The 16,822-nt window shown below is 35.2% G+C and overlaps 1 protein-coding gene across 4 annotated transcripts in view, besides 3 other annotated features; it reads right to left on the reverse strand.

Annotated features, from left to right (window-relative positions):
* The window catches only part of SGCZ (sarcoglycan zeta), a 1,153,587-nt gene that overhangs the window by 385,699 nt on the left and 751,066 nt on the right, over window positions 1–16,822 (reverse strand). The gene's annotated exons all lie outside the window — the stretch shown is intronic.
* Window positions 2,494–2,663: an enhancer, noted in NCBI's record as "experimental_102220 CRE fragment used in MPRA reporter constructs". NCBI's record gives its function as "activates a minimal promoter by MPRAs in K562 erythroleukemia cells, with activity observed for both the introgressed and non-introgressed 8:14330631 variant alleles {active_cell/tissue: K562}" and the evidence as "EXISTENCE:reporter gene assay evidence [ECO:0000049][PMID:34662402]".
* Window positions 15,997–16,291: an enhancer, noted in NCBI's record as "tiled region #1875; HepG2 Activating non-DNase unmatched - State 24:Quies". NCBI's record gives its function as "activates a minimal TATA promoter and a strong SV40 promoter by Sharpr-MPRA in HepG2 cells {active_cell/tissue: HepG2}" and the evidence as "EXISTENCE:reporter gene assay evidence [ECO:0000049][PMID:27701403]".
* Window positions 15,997–16,291: a silencer, noted in NCBI's record as "tiled region #1875; K562 Repressive non-DNase unmatched - State 24:Quies". NCBI's record gives its function as "represses a minimal TATA promoter and a strong SV40 promoter by Sharpr-MPRA in K562 cells {active_cell/tissue: K562}" and the evidence as "EXISTENCE:reporter gene assay evidence [ECO:0000049][PMID:27701403]".

Genomic DNA, 16,822 nt, shown 5'->3' on the forward strand with positions numbered 1-16,822 from the left:
AACCCCAGTTTTCTTGGAGAATTGCTTGAAAAAATCATGTTTAGGAAATGATTTTTATCCATTTATTTTCTGTCCAAGTTTATTTCTGAGCACACAATAAAGACTAACTATATGACGGTTGGAGATAATCAGTAATTAAACTAAGAACCTTTCTGATGCAGAACGGAGATGAATACATAAAGGTATGTATAAAAAGTGCCAAATGTATGAAATCACTCTCTTGGAAAGACCTCAAAAGAAAGTCATTCGAACTCGAGTTCCTAGAAAAGATTGCTTTGCCATAGTCCTCCACTGATATCAAAATAGGCAGTTCTTTGTGTATTTAGACACTGGCACTGAGACACAATAAGTCGTGTTAACAATTTTACTTGCTTATCAGATCTTTAGTAAGCTTGGCCCCAGGCACAATCATCACTTCATCAGTACCAGTAAGAGGCGCTACCCTAAGTTAACTGAAGGAGTGCCATCAAGAAAACCTGCTTTCATTTATTTGAATACTTTGGAAAAAAACACATTCTCAGCCAGACACTTTAATTACATCTAATTAATGTTATTTTTTCTAATGCTTGCCTTTAAAAACTCAATGTTTTATAACTTGGGCTTTCTTCCTAAATGTAACATTGACTAAAGCATGGCAATTTAATATTTGTCAAAACTACTAAATGGTTCAGAATATAGACAATCTGTGTCATTGTAGAATGTTATTGTTTGACTCATGTAGTGTACTCATTATCACATAATAGTGAATAATTTGCAGTGCTGAAAAATACATTAATTAGCGTATGCTTATAAATCATACTTATAGAAATAGTACTATTGTACTAAAGATGCTCATTAAACACCTGTAATATGTATGCCACTTTTCTGATAACAGCCACACATACCATTCCAATGATATATTTTATATATATATGAATGATACAACATCCAATTATTCTGATGACATATACAAGGAAGACATAGTCTCTGGGTTGAGTTTCTCAGTGGAGACTGTGTTCCCCCATATGAATTTCCTCAAATAAGGATTCCTTTTGCTAAGAAATTATTCAACGTATCCTATAATTATTACCAACTCCCTGGAAAAGTAATTTACCACAAATGTCACATCAGCTACATAAAGCTGAAAGCCAATTTAATATTTACTAAATATTATGAAGCTATTCAATAAATAAAAATAATAATTTCCGTGCCCATTTAACAGCACTGAATTTAAGAAATCACTCCAAGTGTTAATTTAAACATGAAATACATATCTGCCAATAATTGCTATTATGACGATTCTAAATAAATGAATAGATTCACTTCTCAGGCATTTTACTAAGGGTTCCAATGAATATCGTATCTATGTCAAAGAAATAATGACAAATAAATACATCATCATCTGAGATACTGAGACATACCCACAGTTATATAAGCTGAATTTCCGAATCTCATTTGTTTACCTCTGTGGCAGTTAATAAATAATAATAAAATCTTTTATTATTTCTCCTGTATCTGTAAGACTGTTCCTACCAAACTACATTTCTCAAATAAGAAATTTGCTTCTCTGGTTTTTGCAATTCAGCATTTGATCATAGGTCTTACTATATGAATTTTAAGAGTTCCAATTGTAATTTTAGAAGTGACCTTTAGTTGGTTTGTGCAGCTTAAATTGTGAATTAAATTCTCAGTAATCTTTTTGAAATGATGGAAAAACATGAATCTTGTTTAATATCTTTATTTAAAGGTAAATAAGGTTTAATTAAAGGCTTATATTTTATTTAAGAAAGCTGTTTGTTCATGGTTTTAACTAGATTGAAAGCCAGAGAGGTATTTACCCAATCAATACCTCTGCAGTACCATTCACAGACCTACCATACCATTGTCTTTGAGTCTGAATAGTGGTGAGTTGATGAACTCAAGGCTTGATATTTATATATTCACTTTGTACTTACTTTTATCACTTAGAATGTGATACTTTTAACACACAGAAAGACCCAAAGTAGTTTCATGATAATTATCCCAACCATATACTGGGATATCATTACATTATAAGAAAACTCAATATTGATGTTTAAGCGTGCAGTGGTAAATGTTTTCCCATATTGCAAGGATCCTCTTCCATTCTACTGGTCTCAAAAGGCAACATGTATTGCCCTATTTAACTGGGAGAAGGAATATATCAGTATTAAAATGTTCCTCCTGTATACATTCAAACTTTATTCTATACAAATTTGTTTGTGTATGTAGAATAGTTTAAAAACTAATATTGTACCTATAAATAACTCTTTATAAAAATGTTTAGTTTTTATTTCAAAAACAAAAAAAGGTTATATTATCAATGCTAAGTTATCCCTGAAGACAATTTAACAAATAGTTCTCACCCTAAACCACAAAAGTTACCCCCATCTTCTTGTGCAGTTTTTCAAGAACTGCAAGACCCGGTTGGTGTTAACTGATGGTGAAGTGGTAATCCAAGAGTCTTTGTAAAATATAAATAGTATTTTACATTTCATGGGTCTTGCTAATTCTGAATGATACCTAGGAGAAATGCTCAGTTAAAATAAATAACTAACTGGGTCACTGAACATTAAAGAGGTAATTTAGAATGAATTAAAATCTATAATAAAATTCACACCTGTTCCCATACTTATTAAAATGTATTACAAAGGTTTATGAAGTACTCTCTTTATGTATTAGAGAAACAGATAAAATCATATTTTACTAAGGTAAAATAGTTTAAAATTGTAACTATTTTCACATTTCATTTTTATGTATAAGATTATTAAGAATAAGAAAAGCTTTCTCCTCCATATGCTGTTGCATTCAGATTAAACCAAAGTTCTTTAATTTTGTTATCACATTATACATATGAAATAACTTCATTAAAATATCATGAATTTTTCACCATCAACCCTAGAATAAATATTAGGCAAGAAAGTATACATAACATTAAAAAATGAATTCAATACATCAACAAATGTTTCTACCAAAAACTAAAATATCAATTTTGACCCAGAATTGTCAACTACATAGGTGTTAGTGATAGGTATTAGTGAAAACATGTGGTGAAAATTCACAAATGAATAGAACTGAAATCTTATATGTCAACAGAAGTAAAAAATGAAAAAGCGGCCGGGCGAGGTGTCTCAAGCCTGTAATCCCAGCACTTTGGGAGGTCGAGGTGGGTGGATCACGAGGTCAGGAGATCGAGACCAACTTGGCTAACATGGTGAAACCCTGTCTCTACTAAAAATACAAAAAAATTAGCCAGGCGTGGTGGCGGGCACGCGTAGTCCCAGCTACTCGGGAAGCTGAGGCAGGAGAACGGTGTGAACTCAGGAGACAGAGCTTGCAGTGAGCCAAGATCACACCACTGCACTCCAGCCTGGGCGACAGAGCAAGACCCTGTCTCAAAAAAAAAAAAAAAGTTTTTATGAAAAATAATATCTTTAAGTAATACCCCATGGGTACTAGTTTTAATTGCCAAATTTTGCATAAGTCATTCTGTGGGAGGACAAGATTGGGGAAAGTTATAGGGGAAAGAAGAAGTCTCTTGTCAACAGAAATAGAATCTTTCTATTGATGAATGGCTGCCTGCAACTGGGAAGAGTGACTTGCAACAACACAATTTAATATTCTCTAAATAAACAAACCATTTTTTGCACTCACAACTGATGTACTAAAGATACTCTGCTAAACACATGAAAACGAGAATAAAACACTTTTGATTTGCATTATCATACCAAATGATATGCATATGCAAACATCCAAATTTCTGAATCATTTTTAAAAATCTTAAAAATCCATGCAGTTGATTAAGATGCATTTTGGGTCTATAGACTTCTAAATCTACAGAAACACACACACATATATGTGAGCACACACATAAACTTGTGTGTTCACACAGAAAGTGATGCTAAAAATTAGTTCTTAAACCTATTTGATTAGTATCAGATGCACATTTTGCAGCAATAGTCATCATAATTATTCCTCAATGTTTAGTCATGGTTTTACTTTGTAGAGCGCTCCATGAATTAATTTCAAGAATAAAAAAAGAAATTATACTAGGTAGCCCTGTATAAAAAATTAAAACATACAGGTCCATTAAAATTTTTTAAAAATACTTTTCTAAATTACATATTGCAGAAATTATCCTCCAAACAACTTTGAAACCATACTCAAAAACTAAAACACTTAAATTTACTGTTAGATTTTGATTCACACTAAAAATCAATTACTTGTCCTTGACAAAACCTTTTATTATATCCAAATGATTTTAGCCACCAAAGAGATATTGGATTTTTTTTAAAGTCACAGACAGCTTTAATCTTGCAAATGCATCATTCCAAAATGTGTGAGATAAATTTGAAAAGGTCAAATCTGCTGTAATTAAAGCCATTCTTTGGATGTCTTTATAGTTGAAGCAGCCAAATGTCTGTACTGAATGCCAGAAGAATTAAGTATTCAGATACATATTTTTTCTTCTCCAATCTAGCATCAGGCTGTGGACTTATCCAATGAGTTATTTTGTTGTTGTTTTTTAAGGAAGTGGAATATTTCAAACCATACAAGTAGATTCTGATACAGCTCTAAACATTGTAACACAAAGTGAAAAGTTTAATGTTTAATATCATACTATTAAAAAGCAAAAGAATTATATTTCAATATGAGTCTAATGAAAATGTATAGTTTTATTTGCTTTTTTATTCCAGTATATTTCAATATCTAAATATTATCACCTTCTAGAAGTGGTATGTTTTCCAATTCATAATAAAAGAATTGTGGAGTTGCTGCCAGAATACAAGTAAAGCAACTAATAAGTAATTGTAAATATAAATTTTGTAATTTGTATATGAAAGTAGCAGCAAACATTATTAACTATAAAAAGGTTTTTAACAAAAGTCCTTTTTTAAAGGATCATATCCATGCATGATTCATTTTTCATTCCAGTGATTGTTATTAAAGCAAAAGAGAACCCATGTGACTCAAAATGTACTAAGATTAAATTTTCATTGTTGGCTCACAATAGAGCTAATATTTCAGCTTGTTTTATGTCTTTATTGGTTGGATTTTATTTACAAGACAACTTTGTGCTATAAATTGTTGGAGATAAAACCAAATTTCTATCCAAATCTTTCAGAATCTTTTAATGAGGGTCTTACAGCTAGAGGATAAAATAATCTGAAGCAATTCCAAATTAAGGAATTATATGACAAGTTCCATATCAATGATATATATATACACACACACAACAAGCAATATATTAGTTCAAATAGTACAATGTTGAATATACACATTGTGATAGTTATTTTATTTTATTTTTTACTTAAGACAGGGTCTGTCTGTGTCACTCAGGCTGGAATGCAGTGGTGTCATCACAGCTCACTGTCACCTCAAACTCCTGGACTCAAGATATCATCCCACTACAGGTTTGCGCCACCATGCCTAGCTATTTTTTTTTTTTTAAGACAGGGTCTCACTATGTTGCCCTGGTTGATCTTGGCTCCTGGCCTCAAGCAAATCTTCTACCTTACTTCCCAAAGTATTGGGATTACTGGTGTGCTGGCCTGATGGTTATTCTTATGAGTCAACTTGCCTGGGTTAAGGAATGCCCTGACGGCTGGGAAAACACTATTTCTGGGAGTTTTTGTGAGAGTGTTTCTGTATTAGCATTTGAATCTGTAGTCAAGAATCAGGAGTAAAAGAGGTCCCCTCTCACCAATGTTGGTGGGTATCATCCAACTCACTGGGACCTGCCCCAAGAGAACAAAAAGCAGAAGATGGGTTCTCCAGCTTACAGACAGAACACTGGACTTGTGGGCCTCCATAATAATGAATATGAGCTGATTCCCATCATAAATCTTTCCTTATATATTTCTATATGTCTTGCTGAGTCTATTTCTCTGGAGAACCCTGAATAATATATATATGTATGCATGTATATAATTTATTATAATAATAAAAATTAAAGTAACAAATTATTAGTGAGCTAGTAATTTTAAAAAGCCCACAATGATGCCACATTTCTCTCTCTAACTCTTGAGAGGACATCTGCTTATCTATGGCTAATGGTCAATCAGAGTTTAATAAGATTAATGATTCATTTATTGAGCAATTTCTATGTTTCAAATTCTACCCAAGTCCCACTGTGTATGCTAATACACTGATTCTTACAACAACTTGGTGAGATAGCTATTAAGATTCATACTTTCAGATGACATGATGAAGTTGTGACAAGTTGGCTGCCATAAGAACTAAAATCCACTACGGTTTGACTTCTGCATACATACTTTTCGCCTTGTGCTTCATTGTCTTAGACAATCAGTCCCCAACCTCCTTTATACACTTTCAGAAAGAGACAGACATTCATGTACTCTAAACCAAACTATTACATTCCCCTCGTTGTGCTTTCCAAAAGGTACAAAAGCAGGCTGTAACCATACTTGCTATCCACACTATATACCTATTTTGTTCCCATTGGGAAATATTTGAGGACTGCCTACTGGTTGCAAATATTTTTCACCTAATTTTTGATTTAATTAAACCCTACTTATTCTACTTTCCTTAATATTTCCTTCCTTTCAAATTCACTCTATGTGTCTTTTCATTTTTGTGACTAATTTACAGTAATAGATTATAAACATCAATATTTAACTGTGTAAAATACCTATTTATAAAATTATTCATATGAATTTTCACTGGCCTACTACCGTTGTATTAATAAGGAGAAGGCTGTTGGCAAAACAACAACAAAAACCACCACCACAGCAAAACCCTTTAAAACCAACTTTGAGATACTTACTTTGGTTTTAAGTGTTTGATTTTATGAGCTCATTAATGAATGTTAATATTCTTCACTGAAATTTGCTACCTATATTTTTATACTTCTTACCACTGTGAGTTGTTTTACATACTAGTGATTTTTATTATCCTATTAGTATTCTAAATGGAGTGTGGGTAGTAGAAATACCACAATTGTCTTATTTTTATTAGATACCTCCTCAAAGTAGCCTTAACACTATTTTATTCTCCTTCAGTAGTTTATCATCTACTAAATCTGTCTAAAACAATATATACAAAAGGTTAATAAATGGCTCTATTTAGCTAAGTCTAGTCTAATTACCATGAAAACGTTAGGTCTAACTTTCTAAACATAAATTTTTTGAAGTGTTCTGCTTTTCCTAAGAATATGCTACTCCAGACTATCTTAAGTTCACACATGTAAAAGAGAAGGAAATGTAGGAAATGTGTCTGAAAAATCATACCTCTGCCTTAGATGATAAAATAATTTTTCAGCTGAGGTTTTATATCATCACCAACTTAATATCACTCCTTGGTCCTGTCACCTTCAGCTCTCAATATACAGTTAACTTTTATCTTCTGGAGATTTTTAGACTTTAAGGAACTCACTAAAGATTGTTTAAGAAATGATGCAAGGAATGAGTTGAAGACTTTAATTTTCCAAGTAAGTGCAGAATAATTATGAAGAAGGAACCTGATGAATATGAAAAGCAGAGAGCACCAAATTCTGGTGAGGATACTGGACAATGTGCATCCTCATTCACTGCAGAAATGAAAATGTTACATCACTTTGGAAGACAGTTTGGCAGCATTTTTACAAAACTAAGCATAATCTTATCATATAATCTAGCAATCATGCCCCTTGGCATATACCCAATGAAGTTAAAAACAGGTCCTCGCTAAAACCAGCACAAGAATGTTTATAGCAGCTTTATTTGCCAAACTGGTAAGCAACCAAGATGTCCCTCGTTAGGTAAATGGATAAACTGTAACACACTCAGATAATGAAATAGTATTCAGCATTAAAAACAAATGACCAATCAAGACATAAAAATACATGAAGGAATCTCATATACGTGTTTCTAACAGTATGAAGCCAATCAGAAAATGCTACATACTGTATGATTCCAACTACATGACATTCCAAGAAAGGCCAAACTATGGCAGCAGTTTGAAAAAATCAGTGATTGACAGGTGTTATGGGGGACAGAGGGATGAGTAGGTGGAGCCCAGACGATTTTTAGGGCAGTGAAACGCTACTGTAAAAGACTGTAACTATGGATATTGTGTTCAGATTTTTTAAAAAATGAAACTGAAATTTAAAATAGAGTAACTAAGAGGGAATCTGGTTGATTTGTTTCAGCTTAAATTCATGATTGCAAATCTCGTGTCTTTATATTTCCCCCAAAAAATTAATATTCCCTGCTCCATTCACTATCACGCTTTTTCAGAGTAACAGTTCTTATTTATTTTCTCTACTTCCCATTTTCACTCTTGTTGACGAGTTTATTTTCTGTTTCACTTGTAAAAAGGTAGTAATCTGGCAAGAACTTCAAAATCTCTGGTCGCTACATCTGCTCACCTTCCTGTATCTACACCTACATTCTGTTCTCTCTCGTTTTCATACGGATAAACTGTCTGCTTCTAATGCCCACCCCTCTAACTGTGACTAGGTCCTGTCTCCTGTTGTATTCGGGTTCTCCAGCGGGACAGGATTAAATGGATAGAGGTACATATAAAATAGAGTTTATTAAGAAGTATTGACTCACAGGATCACAGGGTGAAGTCCCACGATAGGCCATCAGCAAGCTGAGAAGCAAGGAAGCCAGTCCGAGTCCCAAAACCTCAAAAGTAGTGAAGCCGACAGCGCAGCCTTCAGTCTGTGGCTGAAGGCCAGAGAGCCCCTGGTAAACCACTGTTGTAGGTCCAAGAGTCCAAAAACTGAAGAACTTGCAGTCTAACGTTCAACGGCAGGAAGCATTCAGCACGGGAGAAAAATAGAGGCCCGGAGACTCAGCGAGTCTCGTATTTCCTCTTTGCTCCGCCTGCTTTTATTTCAGCAGCGTTCGCAGCTGATTAGATGGTGCTCACTTAGATTGAGGGTGGGTTTGGGTCTCCCAGTTCACTGACAAAGGTTAACCTCCTTTGGCCATACCCTCACAGACACATCTGGGAATAATACTTTGTATCCTTCAATCCAATCAAATTGACACGCAGTATTAACCATCACACCTGTTATCTATTTAGAGCTATCATCCCTGCAATTTTCTTGCTGCTGCTTCTGCAATTTTAATTCCTCTGCTAAGTCCTTCACATCAAAAAACAACAAAATGGAGTTAATTTAATGTGATAAAAACTAACAACTTTCTTTACCCCCAGGTCGCATACCTCCAGAATTCTACTTCTTTTTTTTTTTTTTTTTTTTTTTTTTTTTTATTTGAGATGGAGTTTAGCTCTTGCAGTGCTTGGAGTGCAATCGCATGATCTCGGCTCACTGCAACCTCCGCCTCCCAGGTTCAAGCAATTCTCCTGCCTCAGGCTCCCAAGTAGCTGGGATTACAGGCGTGCACTAGCACGCTCGACTAATTTTGTATTTTTAGTAAAGATAGAGTTTCACCATGTTGGTCAGGCTAGTCTCGAATTCCTGACCTCAAGTGATCCACCCGCCTCGGCATCCCAAAGCACCGGGATTACGGGCGTGAGCCACGCGACTGGCCAGCCATTTCTCCTTTATAGCTGTTTATTTCTAACCATTTGTCTTCAATTACTGTAATCCCATTCTCTCTTGAACCTATTTCATTCAGGCTTATATTCTTCTACTTCTACACTGAAACAGTTTTCAAGATGACTAATATAGGTAACTATTTATACATTGGCCATATACTTTATGTATGAATAAAGTACACAATGCCAAGTGTAATATATTCTAGTACATTACACTTAGCAACAGCGTCTACATTCTACTCCTTTGACATCTACAATCACTGCTCCTTGAAATATTTTTTCTCTTTTCTTCAGGACACCATATTCTCTTATTTTTTCTCCAGCCTCCTTGGCTAATTCTTCTCATCCTTCTTTGCCAAATCCACCTTATCTCCCCACAAAATTTGAAGTTTCCTAAATTTCTCTATTATTTCAATGTTTACCCTTTGCTACACACCAACAGTACTTAAATCCACTTTCATGACTTCGTTATGCTTATAACTACCACGTAATTCTTTATACTCAATTTACAAATTTATTCAATGTTCGTGTTTAATCATTCTCATCATGCTGACTCCTTCAGTAACAGAGCTCGGGGCTTGAAATTCTAACCTTACAAAAAACTTATGCTTATTCCACATAATACATAGATATAAACTTCTTGAATATTAAAGACATTTCATTATAAAGACTATATTCTTTATAATGACAATAAAGAATATATTTATAATAACATAATTGTATTCTTCTATATTTATTTCAAAACTGTTAAAGTTTCAAAGGTCACATATGTCTTTAATTATCACAACAAACTCCCATGATACAAGTTTAATTATATAACAAACCTGCACTTGTACTCCTGAACTTAAAAGTTTGAAAAAAGAATAACATTCTTATAAAAGACTTGTAAAGACTTAATGAATGAAGTTATCTTGAACATTTGATAACTTTAATATTCACAGTTTATATTTATCAATAGATGCTCTCAGAAAAATAAAAAGGCTTCCAACAAACTAGAAGAAAATATTAATATAATCAACATATAAACAGCAAAGTGTTAATATCCAGAATATATAAAGAATAATACAAATAACCCAATTAAATAATGCACAAATGATACACACATTATACAAAATATGAAAACATGAATAGTTAATTAATATATGATGCTTAATTTTGGTAACCAGGGAAATGCTATTTCAACACAGGGCAGGATGACATTTTACACTAGCCAGTGTGAAGAAAAGTTAAAATTCCAGTCCCAAGTGTCAGAAAAGTTATAGAACAAAGGAGACTCATACATGACTTATAAGTAATGAGATGGGGAGGGGTCATAGAAATCACTGCCTCACAATCAATGGGGATTACTCAATTCACTAATAAGGAATGCATGCAATAAGTTTCAAAGTCATGAATTTTGTGCTTTTTGTGACAGTAATAGTAAAAAATAATTTTTATCAATCTCACAATAAATTTGACCAAACATTTTGTGCAATTTAATTCCTTTAGACCCCATTATCTCATTATGGCTGAGTTTACTGTTTTATTTTATAGATACATATAACTCTAGAAGACACAAGGATTTTGTAACATCACTTGCCTCTGGTAGTTAAAGTGGAAGGGAGTTTTTTTATTAATATTTATTACCTAACATTTGAATTTTATACTAGGAGAATGGATTATTATCCTGTAATTAAATTAAAATTTAAAAAATTAAAAACTTTTAAATTGAAGTAAAATGTTCAGTAGATGAGAGGTTCCATCTCTAATCAAGGGATAACCGATTCCTTTATAAACAGCTGGAAAACTAGACAAACTATATGAAACAATCATTTTCAAACATTGGACAATTGGCTCCTAAGGACTGGTTTTCCGCAGTTGAGAAGAGAAACAAACAACGTAAGATCTACAATAGCCCCTGATTTCTGCCTGGGGATACCTACCGGACCACACCATTGACAGCAGAACCCAGACAGAGCTTGGAGAAATCCCTGAGTTAAAGGGACAGAAATGCTATTGCAGGAGGACTAAGCGAGTATCTTAAATTTAAGGTAGGAACTAGACAAAGAAAGAGCTCCAAAAATCAACATAGTTTTCCCCTGAGTGATCCAGGGACTGACTGACTAACTCAGTGAGCATCCATCCCTGGTTCTAATATCTAACTTCCCCTCCTTGAGTGTCCAGGGTAACCACCTTGAGCTGTGTTCATATCTGCAAATGACAGGTTCATCTCTGCCTCTCAAGACTGCGTAAACCTGTGCAACACTTTCTACCTTTTACGGAAAGCATACATAATTTCACAAGCAAACAGCATTTCCTGTATTTTGGAGAATTCAGTCAAGCTTTGGGAGTCAGAGTTATGGGTAAAACACTTTACTCACTTCACCTTCCTCTTTACACTTGTGCCTGATTTTTCCTCCTTTAATCTCCCTTACCGCTCTCAGAAACAAAATCATTTTGTTTTCTTATCTGTTAACAAGTATAACAACTTTGGAAGAGTCTTTTCTTGCTTGATTAAGACGGGTGTGGTGGTTAATTTTCTGCTTCGACTTGACTGGGTTACAGGATGCCCAGATAGTGGTTAGACATTATTTCTGGGTGTTTCTGTGAGAATGTTTCTGGAAGATATTAGCATCTGCGAAATAAGTAAAGCAGATGGCCCTCCCCAATGAGGGTGGGGATCATACAACCTGCTGAGGGCCCGAATAGAACAAAAAGGCAGAGGAAGGTAGAATGCTGTCTCTCTGCTTGACTGCACGAGGGGAGACATTGATTGTCTCCTGCCCTTGGACTAGGCCTTATACCATTGTCACTTCTCATTCTCAGGCCTTCAGACTTAGGCTGGAATTAACACCACTGGCTCCCCTGGGTCTCCGTTTGCAGACCACTAACAGTGGGGACTTTTCAGGTTCCCTAACTCCGTAAACACGTGAGCCAATTCTTACACCATATATCTTTATACACACACACACAAACACATATCCTATTGCTTCTGTTTTCTCTAGATTGCCCTGACATACAACACAATTTCTCTCTCATTTCCACAGGCTCTATCTCTTACCCACACTTAAACATTGAAATCATCTGTGTGTATTTTAATACTCATGAAGTTCAGGCTTCCCTCAATAGCCTGACTTTGTATCTCTGAGGCAGATCAGATTTTTACATTTCAAAAAACATGCCTTTAAAACAAAATCTTATTTTAAGTACGCGTGACAATCATTGGCAGAAGGCAATTGTAGAACAAATGGGATTTGAGGGCTGGTGCAATGGTTCATACTTGTAATCCCAACACTTTGGGAGGCATAGGCAGGAGGATGGCTTGAGCCTAGGACTTTGTGACCAGCCTGAGCAATACAGTGAGACTCCGTCTCTACAAACAATTTAAAAAATTAGCTGGGCATGGTGGTACCTGCCTGTGGTCCCAGCTACTTGGGAAGCTGAAGCAAGAGGATTGCTTGAGCCCAGGAAGTCAAGGCTATAGTGAACTGTGATTGCACTCCTGCATTCCAGGCTAGGCAACAGAGTGACACCCTGTCTCAGAAACAAAACACACAAAAAGGTATTTGATTTCAACACTAATTTATTCATTTTTGGCCATGTAAATTACGTTGATAAAGAAATTCAAAGAGAGTATATTGTACTATGTGAATGATCACATTTGATCCTGAACTACTAATGGGTACGTCTTGGTTACTTGTATAAGAATAACAGGTTTCAATTAAGGTAAATTAACATATATAAAATACTATGTATATATGAATATATGCAGCATAAATGACAAAGTTATTTTATTTTCAGTTTAGCCTGAAAATAAGGTTGTTTTGATTATACAAGCAATCTTTTAATAAAATCAAGTTTACTCCTTTATGTATCACCCTAACATGTATGTTCTGATTGCTGACTACATGGATTAAAGATAATTTTCTTCTCTCTACTTGGCATCCAGCCCATGAAAATCCAACTTTTTGCAGTTTCTACACCTTAATGACCATAGAAGAACACTGGAAAATATGCCACTTTATTAGACATCACATGTTACTTTATTATACCTGAAGTTTCTCTAAAGATTGAAACAATTCAATTATTACAGCAAGTTATACATATGTACAAACTGGTTATACACTATATTTATTAAGATTATGAAACTAGCTATACAACTCAATGACGTTTGGATGTGGAAATGTAATTCTGATATTTTTTATTTCCATTTCTATCATAGTTTGCTATTAGTATGGCTCTGTATAATAAACTTTCATGAATATATCAGAGAGAAATGGTAAGAAGAGAGCTAAGTGCAAACGATGCAAGTTAGTGACTCCGAAATAGTGACCACAGCAAGTCATATACCATTGTTTTAAATAACTTTTAAATATAGAATTATGTTTTGTTATATTTTTAAAGGTTTACAAATAAATTTTTTAATTCAGAAACTTGCATTGATGTGATTTTTAAAACATTTCATTGCTATCTTGGTTAGCAGTTTCCCGGTTTTTTTACACACATAGAACAAATGTTACAGTACAATGGGAGCATCCTGGTATGGAAAAAGATAGATCTGGAATTATATTTTATGTTCCGTTTTTGCTGTGGTTTTAAGAAATATACATTTTTTAGGTAATTTATTCTTCTGAAAGATGGGAATATTATATTTAAGCAAAAGAATTATTGTTTGAATCAATTTTAAAATATTGTGCCCATATTTATATCTAAAATGTTTCTGTCATTCATTAATATGATTCACATAATACAACTACAGAAAATCATTGTTGGTAATGAACCATAGAGATCATTTAGCTCTAAGTTAAATGCATTTCTTGGTGATACTTCTGTTGCTTCATAGTATAATAAGATAAATTAAATGCTTTACAGCAAAATTATTATATATAAGTATTACTAAAAGTCATCAGTAATAGCAACAGTTTGACATTGAGTCTTACCCTGAAATAATACACTTTTGCTCACACACTGTAAGTATTTTGTTTCTCTTTATGGCTTTAAAGGACTAAAAATAATTATTTAAAGCAAGAAAGCAGGAAAGTCATGGAAGGCACTGAGACAGAGGCTACTAATTTATGCAGAATTTCCTCTCATCTTCTTGTTACTTGTTTCAGAATCTTGCCTTGAGATTTTGTGGGATACATGATGATCCAACTAAAAACTACATTTCCTATCAGTATTCCTATCTTCCTATCTAGTTTAGGATTTATCCCAGAATTTTTCTTTTTCTCCTCCCTCCACCCCCTGCCCCCGCTGGAATGCAGTGGCATGATCTTGGCTCACTGCAACCTTGGCCTCCTGGGTTCAAGCGATTCTCCCGCCTCAGCCTCCCGAGTAGCTGGGATTACAGGCGTGCGCCACTATGCCAGGCTAATTTTTTGTGTTTTTAGTAGAGATGGTGTTTCACCTTGTTAGCCAGGATGGTCTTGATCTCCTAACCTCGTCATCTGCCCACGTCAGACTCCCAAAGTGCTGGGATTACAGGGATGAGCCACCATGCCCAGCCAAATTTTTCATTTTTAACCACATTATTAATGCTTACATTAAGGTAGGCCCTGATGGGTCCTGTGCTTCCAGATTCTCCCTCGGTTTCCTCTCATAGTACATGAGACATGCGTGAGGACAGGGCAAGAAGGGTTCTCACTGTAACAGAAGCTTATATCTGAAAGATGTCCAGTAATCTAATTGGTCTATCTTTCCTCAACTCTCACTAGACACATGCAACACAGCCAGCACTTTCCTTTCTATGACAGCAGGCACAAGGACATACGCTGTTTAACTACTTTATATTTTCTCTAGAACAATTTTTTTTTTTTTTTTTTTGAGACGGAGTCTCGCTCTGTCGCCCAGGCCGGACTGCGGACTGCAGTGGCGCAATCTCGGCTCACTGCAAGCTCCGCTTCCCGGGTTCGCGCCATTCTCCTGCCTCAGCCTCCCGAGTAGCTGGGACTACAGGCGTCCGCCACCGCGCCCGGCTAATTTTTTGTATTTTTAGTAGAGACGGGGTAGAACAATTTTTTTAGATCTACTGATACAATACAAAATAACGTCAGTTAATAAATATTTCAAAAAATATGTAACTATGTTTAGCATGCTCGTTTTTCCCCCTCAAAGTTGTTCTGGTTTGGACAATAAATATAGCCACACTATCTTTTGGTTGCCATTTTAAAGATCAAACTTGCCTACACTTCCTCTCCCCCTTGAAATTGCCTGGAAAATTGCATTGTTGTAGTTCCTGTGGAACCAGATATAGAGGCCATATGTTGAGTATGCATGGTAGTAAGAACCACTAAATACGGGTGTCTGGGAGAAGAAATGGAGCAGAGCCTCCCACTGGCCATGGATCCCTCAACTACTCACTGTTACTCAAGAGAGAAATACAGTGCCTTCTCTTTAACACATTGTATTTGGTGTCTTGCTGGCTGTCTCCTAAGTAATATATTCCCTAAATAATAAAGATCAAACATTATTTGTAAACACTATGCTACAAGCCACTCATGGAGAACTTAGGATTAACTGCACTTCTTGTGAGTAATGAGTGTGTGTGTGTGCGCGCGCGTGCGCACGTGTGTCTTTCTCTGCTGCCCAGGCTGAAGTGCCACGGCACCATCACGGCTCACTGCAGTCTCAACCTCCTGGGATCAAGCAATGCTGCGCCTCAGCCTTCCAAGTAGCTGAGACCACAGGCTTGCCTCACCATACCCAGCTAATTTACTCCTGGGCTCAAGCCATTCTCCAACCTCAGCCTCCCAAAATGCTGGGATTACAGGCATGAGCCACCACACTTGGGCTGTGAATGATTACGTTTTAAAGTTAATTATTAAGGTGCAAATCATGTAAAGCCAACAGTATTAGCATACATCTCTCATGGAATCTAACAGAATCCTGAACATTGGAACAGAGTAATAATTAGTAGAGCATGGAATGAAGCAGTTTCATGCAGTTCAGGACTATGTTGTCTGAAACATGTGTGCCACCTAAATATCACAATCAGAACAGTGACGTGTTCACACTAGGAGTGACTCTGAGCCCAGATTCACAGTCCTCATCTTTGATTCCTCCAGGGAATGTGGTTCCATAATGGAATCATTTGCCTTTAATAGGTTATCCAAACTGTCCTCTCTCTTTCCTTAGCTGTATGATCATGGTCCTTTAACACTTGACTTGTGTAGGGTCAGTTATATTCCACCTCATCATTTCCTAATGTAATTGTAAACGCTTTATTTTTATTGGTACTCTAAATAAGAATATGAAACCATCCTGTATCAAGTCCTGTTAAAATACTTGCAAGTATGTTGATTTTTAAAAAATAATAATATTTGTAAGCTATAAGGAA

This window comes from Homo sapiens, chromosome 8 (assembly GCF_000001405.40).
Source record: "Homo sapiens chromosome 8, GRCh38.p14 Primary Assembly".
NCBI lineage: Eukaryota > Metazoa > Chordata > Mammalia > Primates > Hominidae > Homo > Homo sapiens.